General features: G+C 33.8%; 1 protein-coding gene across 4 annotated transcripts in view; it reads left to right on the top strand.

Annotated features, from left to right (window-relative positions):
* The window catches only part of ACVR1C (activin A receptor type 1C), a 102,098-nt gene extending 88,558 nt beyond the window's left edge, over positions 1-13,540 (top strand). For all 4 annotated transcript variants that reach the window (NM_001111033.2, NM_001111032.2, NM_145259.3 and 1 more), the window contains 2 exons: positions 1,604-1,734; positions 6,264-13,540. In NM_001111033.2, coding sequence (NP_001104503.1) covers positions 1,604-1,734; positions 6,264-6,389 — 257 coding nt within the window. In that variant the 3' untranslated portion in view covers positions 6,390-13,540. The remainder of the gene's footprint in view (positions 1-1,603; positions 1,735-6,263) is intronic.
* The last annotated feature ends 4,949 nt before the right edge of the window (positions 13,541-18,489 follow it).

Raw genomic sequence — 18,489 nt, 5'->3', positions numbered from 1 at the left:
GAAACAGTTGCATCAGTGGAGAAAAAGTTAAATGCTGGTAGAAAATGGTTTAGAGTTTCCACTTTCAAGTGAGACAGACTTAGGACTAAGCGTTGGTTTAGCAATTCCTTGAATGTCTGATTTCAGGCAAGTTACTTAGTTGTAATTTTCTCATCTGTAAAATGAAGATAATACAAAAACTGATCCCATGGGCTTTAAGGATTTAATGAATTAATTCATGTGAAGCTTTTAGTACAGAGCCTGTTCACAGTAAACATTCGATTAAAGACCTGCCATTATTAAACTATTGTCTTTTTTCTGCACTTTGTAGTGATGTCATTTTGCATTACATTAATCTCATTTTTTAAAAAACCTTGCAGACTTTATGCAAAGCTTCTAAGGTTAAAATTATGTCTGAATGAGCAAACATACATACTTTTTCTCTTTTATTCATAGATGATATTATAAAACATTCAGGGATCTACAACTGTTTATAGAAGCAATAGAATTATAGTGGTGCCGAACATGGACACTAGGGTTTGAATTCCAGATCTGCCACTTACTAGCTCTATGTCTCTGAACAAATTCATAGCATTCTGTGCTTCAGTTTCCTCATCTATAAAACAGAAATAATGTTGTACCTTCTTTAGTCAGTAGTTTTGAGGACTGATTAGTTAAAACCTGTAAAGGCCTTAAGGCAATGCACGGCAGATAGCAAGATTTCAAACATGTTAATAATTTTTTGTAAAAATTTCATATTGATATTAGTCTAGATTTGCTTTTAGATTTTGTCCTTAACTTTTCTTCAACTGTAAAAATAGTAATTTAGCAGACGTGAATTGTAGTTAGTTGTCTAGTATTATGGCATGTCTTACATATTTTAAGTTAAAAGCACTGCAGTTAATTAAAAAGATTTTATAAGGGATTTCTTGGAATTTAAGTAGTATTCTAATAATTGAGGTCGTCTTTGTCTTTGAGACTCTTTAAATATTAATCTTCATGTTGAACTGTCTATCTTCAACTACCTTTGGCTTCTTCTCCAGAACATTCTCAGGTTCAGTAGTTCTAAAGTCTAAATGTAAGAAACCCAACGTTAAAAAGATTGCCTAAAAGTTTTCAAAGAGAGAAAGCTGTTTTGTTTTGAAAAAGTTATCTGATGGGAAAATATACGTACTTCATTCACAAAGCAATGAAGCTGTGCTACAAATTTCATAATCAGAAGAAAGTAGGCATCACTTTTAAATTGTATAATGGCATTTTAATTGAGTAAAAATTTACATAATTTTAATAATAGAAAAATAAAATTTATTTTATACAATTATAGAAATGTTATATATTATATAATTATAAAATTATGTGTTATATATTATAATTTTATATAATCTTATATAAATTTTACAGTTATGAAAACATTTATAATACAAAATTTAACTTTATGTAACTATTCAACTGGATGATTTAAACTTATATCCTTGATTTTATAGTGACACATTATTTTAATAAACTTGACTTTCCAGTTCCCTGGGGTGTCACTTGTGCCTAGAAAACTTAATTGGTATTATTTAAAATAGACATGTTTGTTTATTATTTGCACATGGAAATTTATTATACAAATTTCTTACAGGAATTGTTGAGGAGTACCAATTGCCTTATTATGACATGGTGCCTTCAGATCCCTCGATAGAGGAAATGAGAAAGGTTGTTTGTGACCAGAAGTTTCGACCAAGTATCCCAAACCAGTGGCAAAGTTGTGAAGTAAGGCCATGTTTTTATCTATATTTTTCTTATTATATTTTTGAGGTGAGTATCGGGGAGACTTTTCAGAGACCATATAGTTTTTCCAATTCATTCCATATATGTAGACATACGTCTTTTTATAAGTCTTCAGAAGGATTTTTTCCCCTTTAGTGCTGTGCATGCATAATGCTAGGTTACATGACAGTAGCAAATCCTGAAATCTCAGTGACTTTCCACAAGACTTTATTTCTTGCTTACACAAACTGCTCTGCAGGTTAGGCAACTCTCCATGGCACCTGTTCTCATTGCAGTAACTCAGTAATCACTCTGATCTGATCCTTGGACACAGTTTCCAGATCTCTAGGTCAGGTGAAGAGAGGAGCTGGAAGATCACACACTGACCCTTTAATGCTTTGGCATCAGGTGACACACATCTTTTCCACTTATGGCTCCTACCAGAACTTGTCACATGGTCCCACCACCTGCAGGGGGGCTAGGCACTGCAGGGAACATGGGTAGACTCAGTGGGTAGTTAATGTCTCTGCCACACAGAATATTACAATTCCAACCATCTTTACATTCAATAAGTTATACCTCATCTCTAACCTGCTAAAGTTTGAACTTATTCTCTCATTAGAAAAGCTCCCTCACATCAGAGACTCCATTGTTATTTATCTTGTCATCTCCAGCAAACCAGTATTTAACCATAATGTACTAGACAAATAGTAAGTGGTTATTGCAATGCTTGTTATGCCTTATGTGAAGATAGAGATTTTTTCTAGCTCTTACAAGGAAAAAGAGTAGAAGGTGGGAAAAAGACTCTAAACCATCTAACTAGTTCCAGAACCATTCTGATACTTTAATCTCTCTCATTTCAGTTATTGCTGTCTATTTTTTTTGCCATATTTTAATGTAATGAATGAGATCTTTTTTAGGTGATGTCTTTTAGTCTGGCTTTGTTTTGGGGAATATTTTATATAGTTGCCTTTTTGCCTCATTTTTCTCTTCCTTCATGTTTCTCAACCCTTTTCTAATTTAATCATGTTTCTCAATCCTTTTTCTAATTTCTAATTCAAAACACAAGATTTGTGTTTTGTTATTTTTATATTTTGTGTAGATGTCTTACCTACATACTTGAGAAGCAAATTTTGAAGCATTTATAATTTAATTGAAATTAAATTAAAAATTTTCTAATATTAATAATTTATGTACACGAAACAATATAAACTTACAGTTTTTAAAGTATAATAGAATGAAAACTAGTGAATCCACTACCAGGTTTGAAAAATAGAACATTTTCAATACCTTTGAAGATTCCTTACCCCTCTGAGAGGTTACTTATATTATAATCAATTATTTCTTTACTAATTTCTTGCTTTGCTTTTGAATTTTACTATATGTATTTTTTTAGAATATATACATATATCCAGAATAACAATATGTTGTTTACTTTTGCATATTTGTGAAACTTACGTGATTGAAACTTACTGTAGATATTCTTTTCAAAATGTTTTTACTCTCCATTATATATGTGTAGCTATAATCTGTCCATTTTCATTGCTGTGTAGTATTCCATACAATAGAAGCATGTGCTATATCTATGAGGTGATGATACAGCATTTTGCTTTAGTTTTTTAATGCAATGACTTACATTTATAGATTTTCCAGTGTTAAACCAAATATACATTCTTGGAATAGACCCAACATAGTCATTCTAGTGTGAACAATTTTGTACATTCCTGATATATGCATTTTTTGTCCAGTATTTTGTTTCTGTCTTGTTTTATGTCAATCTCATGGAATAGATATTGGCCTCATTTTATACCATCATTATTTAGACTTATTCACATGTTTATCATTTTCTTTGCTCAACATTTCTTCTTACCTCTCAAATCATTTTCTGACTTCCTGATGTGAATCCTTTAAAAGTATTTTATTTAATTTTTTTAGAGAAGACCTAGTGGTTGTAAGATTTTTCAGTTTGGGGGTATCCAAAATGTCTTTATTTTGTCCTCAATCTTGAACAAATGGTTTGTCTAACCATAGAAATTTAGGTTAACAGTCATTTTCTCTAAACACCTTGAAGTTATTATTCCACTATTACCTATCTTCCATTAGTGCTATTGAGAAGTCAGCAATAATCAATCAATAAATTTTTAGTTAATTTATCTTTTCTTTATGACTACTTTTAAGAACTTCTCTGTCTTCAGCATTCTGCAGTTTCTCTATGATGTCTTCAGTATAGATGTCTCTGGTTAATCTTGCTTGGAATATTTGGACTATCTAATTCTAGTGGTTTGTGGCTTTCCTCAGTTCTGGAAAATTTGGAGTCATAGTTCTTCAAATAGTTTTTTCTCTCATTGTTTCTATTACTCAGTTTTGGAGAACTCATTAGATGCATGTTAGAGCTTTCATTACACTTTGCTTTTTTTATTCACTCATATTTTCTATATTTGTGTCATTATGGTATGTATCTCTCAAGATTTATTTTTCAGTTCTTTAATTCTGCCTTCAGATATGTCTAATTTGCCATTTAACTCATCCATCGAGTTTTCTACTTTATTTATTTATTTCTGAACCTTTATTTTAGAGCATTTAGACTCTTTGTATGTGCCAAGCCTGGCTCAGTCCATAGGGATATGCCGATGAGGGGGCCACAATCCTGTCATCATGGAACTTAGAGGATAATGAGGAGTCAGGGCAGAGAAGTGAACAACGTATATGTTGCTCAAAACTGGAGGCAGAATTCGTGCTCTCCTGAACTCTAGTCCATGGTCCTGCATAGCTACTTTATTTATTTATTTTTTTGAGGCAGAATCTTGCTTTGTTGCCCAGGCTGGAGTACAGTGGCATGATCTCAGCTTACTGCTACCTCCGCCTCCCAGGTTCAAGTGATTCTTCTGCCTCAGCCTCAGGAGTAGCTGGGATTACAGGCATGCACCACTATGTTGGCCAGGCTGGTCTCAAACTTGTGACTTCAGGTGATCCACCCGCCTTGGCCTCTCCAAGTGTTGGAATTACAGGTGTGAGCCACCGCACCTGGCCAATTGTTATATTTTTGATATCAAGATATTTTATTGGTACTTTTTCACTTTCTAAAACATTCTCATTTTTTACTCATATTTTGTATTTCTCTTTCCTTTTAAAAATATATTTTATATACTTATATCATTTAATTCTAGCATCTAATGTTTCTATGGGCCAAAACTACTATTTACAATGGACTCTTGCTTATGGTACCTTTTTTCCTCATGTGTTTGTGAATTTTCATTATGAGCTCAGGTTTACTGCAATGTTTAAAGGCATGGGCTTGTTTTTTCCTTCACCAAGAGCCAAGACTTAGGCAATTTCCGTTAGAAGGACTTAGGCAATTTGCCTTAGAAGGTTTCAGGGAAATAGTCATCCTTAAATTGAGGGCTTTCTAAGCCTTTTTTTTTTTTTTTTTTTGGACAGAGTCTTGCACTGTCACCCAGGCTAGAGTGCAGTGGTGTGATCATGGCACACTGCAGCCTTGAACTTCCGGGCCTAAGCAATCCTCTCACCTCAGCCTCCTGCATAGCTGGGACCACCATGCCTGGCTAAGTTTTTAAAATTTTTTGTAGAGACAGGGTCTCCCTGTGTTACTCAGGTTGGTCTTGAACTCCTGGGCTTAAGCAATCCTCTCACCTCGGCCTACCAAAGTGCTAGAATTACAGGCATGAGACACTGCGCCTGGCTGGCATCTTGATCTGAAACTTTCTGTGTGCTGTGGGCTGTACTCTCTATTACATGCGATCCATCAGTTCCGAAGTTCTAGACCATGAGAGTAGCAGATACCCCTATGGCAGCCACTTGCTTCAGCGTTTTCCTGTATTTCTCTGGTTTCATGCATTTTCATTGTTTTCCCCTCTTAGTATTTGTCTTATCTCTTTGCTAGTTCATTTTTAAAGTCCAGGATTTTTGATATTTATACTTGGATCATAATTTTTATTGTAGTATAATTTACATTTGGTAAAACTCACAAATCTTAGTATACAGATTGATGAATTTTTTTTCGTACGTTTACACTTGTGTACTCATCACCAACATCAAGATACAGGGAATTTCCAAGCCTTCCCATATCCCTTGATGTTTTTCATGTCCCATATTCCCAGAAATCAGTGGATTGAAACATTTTTTAGTTAGTCTCTACAAGGTTAGTATTTGAGTTTTGGTAGAATTTTTGAAGGGGTTTGACCCTAATCTTCTTATATTGTTTTAAATTTACTGTTTCTTCATCAAAACTTAGTTAGCATCAATGGCAGGTACAGCGGTGCATGCCTGTGTCCCAGCTACTTGGAAGATTAAGCAGGAATATCGGTTGAGCACAAGAGTTTGAGGCTGTAGTGTGTTATGCTTGCACCTGTGAATAGCCATTGTACTCCAGCCTGGGGAACATAGCAAGACCCCATCTCTTAAAAAAAAAAAAAAAGCTTAGCATCAATTCCTGGATTTATGGCTTTACTTCTTTTGTGCTCTGTTTTATGTAGAGTAGCTAAAGTCTTTGATTTTTTTTTTCTCTCTTAAAGGCACTCCGAGTCATGGGGAGAATAATGCGTGAGTGTTGGTATGCCAACGGAGCGGCCCGCCTAACTGCTCTTCGTATTAAGAAGACTATATCTCAACTTTGTGTCAAAGAAGACTGCAAAGCCTAATGATGATAATTATGTTAAAAAGAAATCTCTCATAGCTTTCTTTTCCATTTTCCCCTTTATGTGAATGTTTTTGCCATTTTTTTTTTGTTCTACCTCAAAGATAAGACAGTACAGTATTTAAGTGCCCATAAGGCAGCATGAAAAGATAACTCTAAAGTTAAGCATGGGCAGGAGTTGACTTCATCCAATCTCTATGTTATGTTTAATTTTATTTTGAAAGCAACACCTCAACTCATCTTTTTATTTAATAAGGAAGAAATATATTACAAAAGTATAAAATAAGCTCTATAAAAATGTTATAGTCATTAAGTTTTTATTTTACTTGAACCAAGAGCACATGAATGAACAGGAAAAGATGTAAAAACATTTTTTTCTGAGATGAAAACATATTAATTAAACATGCAAATTAGAGCATGCTATCTTTAGGTGATGCAATCTATGTTTCCCCCTTTTTAAGTTAGCAGGACTTTTTAAAAATAAATATTGCTCTAAACTTTAATATATCGAACGTGAGAGTGGAGCTGCTTAGTGGAAGATGTAAGTGAGGTGGGTGTCCCATGTGCTTGGTCTCCCCTTCTGCTGTTCTCCTGTTCTTCATAATCCACTACTGCAGCAGTCCCTGAACCACTAAACTTGTTCCTTTCATTTACAAAAGAGATACCTGACATCCTGAGACACTGAGAAATGTCCTGAAGTCACACAGCTAATGGCAGAACTGGCACTAGGTCCAAATCTTGTGATAATGAACACCGTAAGGTTAGCTAGCTTCCTACTTTCCCTTGAATAGTGCTTTTCTCCCTATGTAATATCTTTTATTATGATATTTGTGGTTTAGAAGGCATATTGAGTTATTTTGCAGAATCATAATGGACCCGCACAAAATCTCAGAACCATATCTGTTGACATTTTTTCTCATAGAAATATCATGGTTACCCCATTTGTTAATGAGCATTAATGTTTTCTGAACACTTCCAAAGATTAATCAAACATAAATATTCATTGTCTGAAAATGTCTTTAAGATACAATTCAGAGGTCCCTATTTCCTTTGTACATACACACTTAGAAAGAAAAGACAGAAAAGGAAGAGGAAGGAAGGAAATATTTTGAGAATATATTGAGAAGAATTAAGAAAACTCTTCAATGAAGTGTTAACAACCAAACCCTACAGACGGTATCAGAAACAGCAAATAGATATTCCTCTACCCTTTCACAGTGAGTGAGTGAGTACAGAAGAATGCTCATGATAGTTTTGCCTTCATTCTACTTTCTGTGGACACAGAGTAATGAATATTTAATGGGACATTAAATATGCCCTTCAAATCTATAATTTTACTTTGGTAAACGAGATTTAACATGATGTCTTTTATGCTCCTAAAACATCTTTTTTCAAACTCCATTCCTTAGAACATTCTTCTACTGAGATGATCCAAGACCAAAAGTGTTCTTTGGTACTTGCTTATAAAGTGATAGTACATGTTAGCATATAATGTATTTTGAAGAGTGAAGTAAATGCTATTGATAACAGTAAAAAAAAAAAAAAAAACTAATAACAGTAAAGAAATGCTACTTGATTTTTTTTTAAACTGGATTGCTCAGATTACCTGATCGTGGTGGAACCCTTTTATTAAGAGGAGGGGAAACTTTTTACTATCCCATATTTAACTGTTCTATAAAGCAAAGCACAGCTTGGGTAATAGCGTTCTGAAGGATATACTTCTGTATTTTCTCATAGAGTACAATTTAGTGATTATGCTTCATTTCACTATGGAAATATGTTACTGAATCTATCTTCATTTTACTGAGTTGAAATAAGGAAGGCAAAAAACTGACAGCTATGGAGTTTGCGTGTACTTCCATACTCGTTAATGCTCTCATCCACTTATTAAATAATCATAGAGCACCCATATCTTGCTTGCCACAATATCGGGTACAAGAGGGAATACAAAGATAGATAGGTCCTGCCCTCAGGGATTTTAAAGTCTAATTTGGGAATGGGAATAGGGATGTGAGTGTGTGGGGGAAGAGATTAAATTGACAGATAAAATACGAAGTGGGATGTCTTGAGTTCTGCATGACAGTGGGTTTCTAGGATAGGTCTGAAAATTGCTTTCATTTGCAACACATTTAGAAAGTAGCTTTATTTGGATATTACAGACAATCTAAATATATCATCAGTTTTTAAAAGTGCCTATGTGAAGTGATTTTTAAAAAGAGCCTATGTGAAGGGGTAATCTTGCTTGTTCTTGTTACTAATTTCTCATAGATTGTTTTTCTGCATATATAAGAACGAAATTATTTATTTACTATGGTTGTACGTGCCTCAAATAAACAAGAATGATATTTCCTGTTTTATTTACTTATGTTGGGTAAATATGCTTATTGAATTTTTAAGAGAGGATTTTTTACCATCTCCATTTTTCTTGTCATTATGTTTTGTAGCTTATTTGAGGGTGTCTAAATATAATTTCATATTTTATTGGTTCAACTTTCACTCTGAAGAAATCCGTATGTTAGTACATTTTGAGGTATTTTTCTTGTTCTTGTGTTGTTTAACTATGACTCCTAACTGAGTAGTCTTATATTTCAATTACAAAATACATTTTTTAAGAAAGGGAATAGAGCAGCAAAAATGATAAGGAAAATGTTAAAAGTTGTAATATTTCCTTTACTCTTAACAGGATTATATATAGAACATGCTCACTTACAAAAATAGGATGATGAAGTTTAGAGCATAAGGCAGGCTTCTTGTATATACTTATGCTGTCAAATGTTATATTGTTTTTAATGGAGTCCCATTGTGTAATATTTATTTCTTTTACATTTTGTTATAAGCAAAAAAAAAAAAAATTCTCCTTAGGTTATGTTCAGAGTATCAGTGTTCTTTACTCCTTACAGATATTTTGGCTTTGGGGTATAATACAAGACTTGGGAAAACACTATTATGAATTTTCAGTACTGTATAAAGTGGTGATGGGATTTAAATGCAGCATCACTTTCTGAAAATAAGAGAAACATTATTTGTTGTCAGTATTTCAGCATGAACTTGTTGCCTTGTAAATTTTGCCTTTAAGTTTGTAATTGGTACAGATTCTGTTGTATGCTTTCTTCTATGTCTAAAATATTTGGCATGTCACATCTAGAATTCTTAATTTATGTTCTGACTTGAGAGTTAAGTGAAACATGACTGTCGTGCACTATTTTAGGCATAGCACTTGCTTTTCATCTTTATACTTTCAATTAACTTTGCATTTTAAATTTCCATGATTGTATGAAAATAGTAACCTGGTTGCAGTATCTGAAAAAATTAAAATTAGCTTTTATTTAAAAATGAAAATCTACAATAGATTCATTAGGTTAGAAGTTCCAGAATAATTTATTATTTTATTACACCTACTATTGTAGAATTACTAATAAAACAAAACAAAACTACTCCTATTTTCCTGGAATTTTGCCACCATGTGACTTATTGGGGCAGAGAAAACTCAGGGTTGTCTTTGAGTCTGCACAAAAGCACCAGGGAACCTGCTTAGCAAATCGTCTGAAAACAGGGAGCTGATGTTTGCCATTATACAAAGTTTGAGTAAACAACTTAAAATTGCTTGTTAGGGCATAGTCTTTGATTGAAATAAGTATGAGAATGTATTTGGCTAAATAAATGTATTTAAAATATACAAATTTTATTTCCCACTGGAAAATTAAGAAAGTAGCAGTACCAAATGAATAAAAGCTGGCAGTTGATGTCTTCAATAATCATTCCTTTAAAATAAATTCACAAACACATCATTACAAGCTACTTAGAAATGTTTAGTATTCGTATCTTAAAATGGCACCATTGTGGTTTTCAAAGATATTTTAAACATCTTTTGTGAAACATACTATTTCTGTTTGACAATGCTTTGTTCTAGCTCTGTGTGCTGATACCTACATGGAGTTTTTCTGCTATTTTAGTGAAAACAGTAATTCTTTTATCTTGAGAGCTGCTTCTAAATAACAAAAAAGTTAATTGGAATGTAAGTTTTTAAAAAATGTTAATATTAAATAGAATTTTTATAATATGGGCATTTTTCAAAACATTTTAATGAAAATATATAGATATTTGACTTTCTTTTTTTCATCTAGCCTTGCTTTATATTTCATTATTTTTCTCACTTTTTTTCTTAATATTCCCTCACTATCTTTCAACATTATCATTAGTTCCTAATTTTAAAAATAACTCTTATTTAACTTAACCGTCTGGAATTTAGCCTTCTAATGAAAGAGAATCCCTTAGTACTCTCAGAGATTATATAAAGTTATTCCAATTTTGTGTAGATGACGAAACCAAGGATCAGAGATTAAATGACTACTAGTTACTAGCAGAACTCTTATGAAAGCCTGGTGGTGACACCCAGCACTGTTCCCTGCCATATCCCCAACTTTTACTGATTAAAAATTAATTCGCATGCATCTAAACCTACCTTGAATGCACACTAACGTAATGTGCCATTCAATGATGATGATAAAATCCCACTTTTCTTTGGGTTTCTACTAAAATAATTTACTCACTCAGAGTGAGGTCAATGAGAAAAACTAAACTAGGCTAAGAAAGAGTTGTAGAATGGTTGTTGAGCTAAGTAGGCAACCACTGGGGTGCTGATAAAATTAATGGATAAAATTTAGGAACTGTGAGAGTATAGAATTTCTTAGTGCAAGTAATGATTAGAGAAGCTTCCTGACATCCCCCACCCTTTCTGTAAGGACTGTTCTTTCTCTTTGTACCTTGGAATGGGGGTGAAAGGTGATTTGATAGCTGAATTTGGGACTATGTCCAGTGGGATATTATCTAACTTTTCTCTCTTTCTCTTTTTTTTCCCCTCAGTTTCTCATTAGTTTGTCTTTGGCATTCATCTTCTTTTAGTGCATTAAAAAATGTTTGGCAGATCTCATCAATCCCAAGTCACTCTATAATTCCTGTATTTCTTTAGTTGTCGTTTAACCTGTCCAAACTTCTACACAATGAACTTCTTAACAAGATTTTAAGTTCTCTGTATAAGAGGTTTCACCTCATAACTTCTCCAGTAATCCTTCATTTGGCACTATAGAGTATTTGTTAATGGCAGAGATGATTTTTCTTTTAAAACCTAAAAAGACTAGCTGTTATTTGTATTCTAGCTTTTAGCTAACATATAAAGAATGTCTACTTTTGCTTTAATGCTAAATTCCGCTTGAGAAATAGTAACTGGGAAAGACAATTTGAAATATATGCCCCATAATGTGATTGTTAAATTTATTTCTGCTGTTCCATACCATTGCTTTGTTTTGCTTTTGACAAACTAAGCCATTATGCTATTAGTTTGGAATATAATACTACAGCAAAATTAGGTAACAATCCCTATTTTAAAATTCCCCTAACAATAATAGAACTGCCAGCATACTTTTCTCTTTCAGTTGTAGATGAATACATTCGAGAGAATATGAGCTGTATTTCATCCTAGATTTTAATATTTTCAGATGTGACTGTATTTCCTGATCATTGGTCCAAGTTGTCCTAAAAGAAATTTTTCTCTCCAGACCTAACAGTTTTAACTGCAAGAGTTTACTGTGGGTTATGTTAATCTGAATTTTAATAGGGCCACTAAGAATCTGAGTGCCTTAGGAGATTACCCTTATACCCACTGCCATCACATCCAGTCAGGCCTGTTGTGCTCTATATAAATCTTCCCAGCTGAGGGGCAGGTGCGGGCTAAAATCCAACTGCAATTGGCTCCCAGACATAATTTTATATTTTACAGAGAAGCATCTTATTGGCTTATATGTGTTTAAAGAATGGTCTGGCTTATACATCTTCAGAAAATGAGAATTAAAAAGTCAAAATAATTCTTGACATCTACAGATTGAACAAAGAACTTAGAAGAAATAATACTTTATCTTTTCATCCTGGCATTCCTGAGAGAAGAGAAATTGATTGTTTATCATGTTGGTTTAATTTTTCAACCCAGACAATCTGCAGCAAGGCACATGGACCCCAATTTTGATATCGTCCATACAGTTTTCATTCTATGCATGGAGCTAATTACTGACTTTGCCTGTAAAGAGAGGATTGTGTGCCTAAATTTTGTCTAACAAATGCAAGCGTAGAATGACATTTACTAATATTTCTATTTCTTCCATAGGCTAAATAATAGTAACTAAGTATTTTTAAGGACACAGCCCTTTTTTTCTCTTTATACAAAATGAGAGTATCTGAGCCAAAATATTAAATTCTAGTTCTTTTCCGCAATGACTAGTGTCAAGCTCATGTACTCTTCTGATTCTAGACTGGAGAAGATTATTCAAACTTGATCTGTGTTTCAGGTTTTTAAATGTCCTAAAAACAGAAAATTAGATTCAGATCTCAAAAAAGGAATTTTGGATTGACTTTCAAAGTACTAATACTAATTATACTTTTCTTTTGGTAGCGTGACTCTTCTTATACCTAAGAACATATTACAAATGTCAAAACCATTGCATTTTGACATTGCAAAACATGCCTTGAACTCTTGAACTACTGTGAAAAGAATCACCGTTGTAAAGACTTTTTGTAAGCTAGCTGATACTCTTAAGTATGTAAAAAGATTGTCTTTCAGCCGACAGGCCCAAAGGAATGTATATAAGGAAGGAATATGAAAAAATAAATTAGGTTTTAAAATAGGAATTGGGCAATAAACTGTATCAAAAATATGTAGATGGATTTTAGTAGTTGTAATTTAAATGTGGAAGGTGAAGAGAATTTCAAACTCCAAAGAGAAATGAATGATATTCAGATGTTTCATTAATTTCTAGTCTGTGAAAATATGCATTTTATAGTAATATGTATAGACTTATTTTATTTAGAAATAATAGTGTTTTAGAATTTATTAAAAACTCAGTGATAGCCTTTATACCAAAATGTTTAACTTTACCAACAGCAAGTCATAAAAGTATTTATTTTAAAGCTTTTTAATATTATCGTGTAACTTTCATCTGTCTTCAGATGTAAATAATTATCTGCCTAAATGTTATATTTTTATGTATGCATTTTCTGAAAATGTATTGTTTTGTAAAGTGGGAAAGATAATAAATCAAGCACTTCTTGCACTTGTTTCTGTGAAGCATATAGAACTCTATTTTAAATAAAGGAAGATGTGTCGTATTTTGGTTTTTATATAATTATGTTCTATTATTTTTACATTGTGTTTTATGTGTATGCAGTGTATGCGGAGGGTGTTGGAGACTTAAATGCTGGCTCCAGTGGGCACTGGAATTTTACTTCCTTCGTTCCTTTCGACCAAGGAGTTATAGAATTCTAGAATTTCAGAGCTGGAAGGGATACTTCTTCAGTAGCCATTTCTCTACCTGGCATTTAGGACAATAGATTTTGTTTCTTTTTTTCTACCAAGCAACTGGTTTTTTTTGCACTTTTTAGACAATTGCTAAATGACTACTGGGTTGACCTGCTCTCAAACCTAAAATAGCTCCCATTACACTTAAAATCACAAGCACATGGTCTACAAGCCTTTTCAGACACGGAACCAGACAACTGCTCTACCTTCATTTCCAGTGTCCCCACATTCATCCCCACCTGTTCTCCAGACCCTGGCTTCATGCTCTTCCCTGAACTTGCCAAACACATGCCTGTCCCAGGGCTTTGCTCCCACTGTTTGTTCTTCCTGGAATGTTAAAGGTCTCTGTAAGAATGCCATCACACCAAATTAACCTTTCTTGCTACCCTTTCAAAAGTAGCACATTTTGACATTCACTACCCATTTCCCCTGTGTAATTTTTTCTTTACAGCATTTAGTATTAATCGGCATTCAATTATATATCTGCTTGTATGTAGTATCATAGTGACTAAATCCTTGAGCACTGGAGTTGAGAATTAGGGATCATTTCACTTATGTTTGAAGATATAGTTTTAAAATATTAATAGTAATGTATTGTTTGGGACAGTAAAAAAATACTCTTTGAAACTCATTATTCACACCCCAATATCTGCAATAAACGTTAGGATTGTGTTTCTTACCCAGTCAAGAATAGTTCAGGTTAATTTCTAATTCATGATGGCTGTTTCAGAATGACATTATGAGAAGATTAGGTGTTTGGTTTACATTCTGAACCCTACAAAGTTGGTGTTTTCTGAGACTTAGCATAAGAGAGGCAGAACACTGAATTGGTTTTACTTTTGGTATAGATTCTTAACTTCTTTTGCTTATGTTTTTTTTTTTCCATTTTGGGGGCAGTTTTGTTTGTTTATTAATAAGTGTCCTGAATATTTTGCATTAAGTCAGTATTAACCAGCTTCACTAGCCAAATATTCTTGGTTAACAATCATTAAGTCAGGTTCTCAACTGCTTCATTATTAGTGGCTGCTTGGAGTTGCGGATAAAGGCAAAATATTTATTAAATATCAGTGTAGATTGTGAAACCTATGCATGAAATAAAATGAATGCTTTAGTTTCAGTGGCATGAGCAATAGTGTTTTCTTCCTTCAGTTGTAATTCTGCAATTTCAGCATCTTAATTTTAAAACACTAATATGTGCAAACTTTGGCAAATGTTCACATTGATGCAATAGTTTACCTACAGTGTGAACATAAAATTGGATAGGTACTTTTTTGCATCAGGATAAATTCCTGGAGATTAGGGGATTACTGAATCCAGGCTGTTTTATGGAGTGTTCTGGAAGTGATTTTCAAGAAATGCTCTGTGACTTTTAGAAGAAATATACATATTTTGGCAGAGAGTTATTAAAACATTGATTTGAATAGTTTCTTTAAAATCTATTTATTAGAAACATTTTCCCACAGAGTGCTTTAAGTTTTTTTTTGTTTGTGTCTTGTTAATGATGTATGTAACAAACTTGTAATTACAATCACTTTTATATTTAAAAGAGGTTAATATTCTTTTTCCTTCAAATATTAGTTAAGAAATCTTTATCAAACATTGCTGCAAGAAAATTGACGTGTTGAAGCTTGTGGGATGGGAGAGATTTGTTTAAGTAGAATACAAGGAAGAGGTTGTCCCTGGTTGGAATCGTGTCTAAAACAGGGGCTGATGCTCATGGCAGTGAGTAACCTACAGAACTGGGATTGAGGGATTCTGTAAGGATTAGATTACAGCATTTAAACTTGATCCTGTCATTGAGGGAAACGCTGAAGGTTTTAAAGCATCAGCGATCATGTGAAGTTGGCATTTAATAAAGGCAGTAAAAGAATTACCCTCTTAAGAGATTTATCAAAGTAACCTGAAGATTACAACATACCCTTTCTTTCCTAACTGATAAATATTTAGAGATAGTACACAGGTGAAGAATTTCAAGATGAGCTATACAAGCAGTGTGATGTGAGTGATTTTATGTGGTGTATTTTCCCTACTTTTTAATATATCTTAAATGCAAAGCAAAATATTGTCATAAGGAAGCCAAAAAATAAATGACATTTAATCTTTAATCATTTAGTTTTATTACAATTATGACATGAAGAATTTTAAAAATACATACACAGAAAGAAACAATCATTTATAAAGGTCTACCTTGTAATTCCATCTTTGCACAAATAAATCTCGAGGTGCCACTGAACTGTATGCATTAAATTTCAAATATAATCAAATCAGGTTTAGAAATACTAATGGTGTTTCATAGAAGAATCCTTGCTTCAGCAACTTAGGAAATTACACTTGATTTTCTTTTGAGTGTTATTCAATTGTGCTTGAAATTGTTCATTTGAACCCTTCTAAACAACAAGCAGGTGGTTAAATGTGGGCACTGTTTAACATTTACACAAAAAATTCCAAGCACAATGCACTTTTGCTCTGTGAATGTCAACTGGCTTTCCCTTCTCTCTCATAGCCTGTCCTTCCCTGGCCATTAGATTTGACCTTGCTACATCCCTGAAAAGAGAACTGGCTGAAATGTAGCTACTTGCTAGGGAGCATTAGACTATTTTTATAGTCCTGCAGCTAAAGCTTTTAATGTGGCAACTGCTGGTTACTGAAGCAGTTTAAGAAAAAGGAACTGCTGAGTTTGCCTTTTATTTTTAAATGGAGAAACACAAGGTGACAATCATATAAGATATAAGTGAAGCGGAACAGGGGAAATACAGCCTAGGATTTCTGTATAGAGCAAAAGCAAGAATTTGCAAACCACATTTCAATTCTATACTGCAATCTGGATCTTTACTTTTATATAATACGTGAACTAGTTCATAAAATGCACTTTTCTCTATGTCAGCTTTTCCTTTATCAGAAATACATGGGTGATACCATAAACATCTTACTGAGAATTTAGTCACTGTGAGGTATTTGTGAAATAACCAAAAATTTACATTTGGGTGGAAATATGACATTCGCAAAGACATAGACTTTGTAGTTCTTTCCTTTCCAAAGCAAACTTTTGTTAAGTGTAGGGTACATTCTCTGTCCCCATTTTCTCTCTGCCCATTCACTCCTCGACCCACTACAATGGAACTTTTGAGTCTTCCTGTAAAATGGCCTCCTCTGTGCTAAGTATTTTGTAGTAGTCTAGTGCAAAGATATTTACCCTTTTCTTCCTTTGTCCCTCTCTGGCCTTTGCAACAGACTGTCCTCTCCCATAATTATTTTCCTTTGCTTGATTGTCCTCCCCCTACCTCTTCTTTTTCTCTGCATTCTGCACTTCATCTTCTTCTTCTTCTTCTTTTTTTTTTTTTTTTCTGTTCTTTTGAGACAGAGTCTCACTCTGTTACCCAAACTGGCGTGCAGTGGCATGATCACAGCCCATTGCAGCATCGACCTTTCCAGGCTCAAGTGATCCTCCTACCTCAGCCTTCCCAGTAGCTGGGACCAGGCCTGTGCCAGTAAACCTGGCTAATTTTTCTATTACTTGCAGAGACAAGGTTTCACCATGTTGCCCATGCTGGTCTCAAACTCCTGGGCTCAAACGATCCGCCCGCCCGCCTTGGCCTCCCAAAGTGCTGGGATCACAGGTGTGAGCCACTGTGCCTGGACAGTATTTTCCTTTCTTTGTGTCCCTACAATGCTAATATTTACCTGTATCTAGCTTTGGCTGTCCTAAACACTCCTCCTTGGTGATCTCATCTACTCTTTTGTCTTTAATAAGGCTGGTGATGTTCAAATCTGCATATTTGTCCCAGACTTATCTTCTAAGATCCAGGCCCTAATGTCCAGCCTCTTCTTTATGTATCCACCTGGTTATAACATAGTCACTTCTGATTCCAATGTCAAAATGTAATTTTTTGTGTCTCACTTCTTTTGCTTAGCATACTGTTTTTGACATTCAGTCATGTTGTTAGATGTATCAGCAGCTTGTTCTTTTACATTGCTGGGTACAGTTGTATTCTATTAACATACCACAATTTGTTTATGCATTCACCTGTTGAACATTTGGGTTGTTTCCGGTTTGGGGCTATTATGAATAAATCTGCTGTGAACATTGATGTTTAAGTGTTTTTGTGGATATGTGTTTTCAATTCTCTTGAGTAAATACCTAACACTATAATTGCTGGAGTGTAAATACTTTCAAGTAGAATTAGGTAAATACTTAGGGGTGTAAAGTGTATGTACCATTTTATACTCGCTATCAGTATATGAGAGTAATAGTTGCTCCAGAGTTTTTCACTGTAGCTTTTCTGGTGAAGTGCAGTAGTATCTCATTGTTATTTTAAATTGAACTTCTGTGATCACTAATAATATTTAGCTTCTTTTCCTACAAATACTGACTTTGTGCATTTGGAGTACATCAAAATATTTTGCCCACTTTTTTACTGGTCGTTTGTTTTCTTATTATTGAGTTGTAAGTATACTTTACGGATTCTGGATACAAATATTTGACAGATATCAAGTCATTTTTTTCGTGACAAACCTGTTTCCCTGCCTGTGATCCCTCTTGTTCAACCCAACAACCCAGTCCTATTGTCCCTTCTTCCTAAATATATCTATCCTTCCTCTTCATCTGTATGCCACCATACCACTGTCTCACTTCAGGCCCCTACCAGTTGTTACTTTGGTGTCTGCCATGGTCTTTTCTCATATTGTGTCTCCATTTCCACTCCTATTAATTTACTCTCTTTCAGATAACTACTAGTGATTGTTCTAAATTATAAGTATA

The sequence above is a fragment of the Homo sapiens genome, chromosome 2 (assembly GCF_000001405.40).
Source record: "Homo sapiens chromosome 2, GRCh38.p14 Primary Assembly".
Classification (NCBI taxonomy): domain Eukaryota; kingdom Metazoa; phylum Chordata; class Mammalia; order Primates; family Hominidae; genus Homo; species Homo sapiens.
Note: the sequence above shows the minus strand (reverse complement) of the source record. Positions and strands in the feature narration are given on the sequence as shown.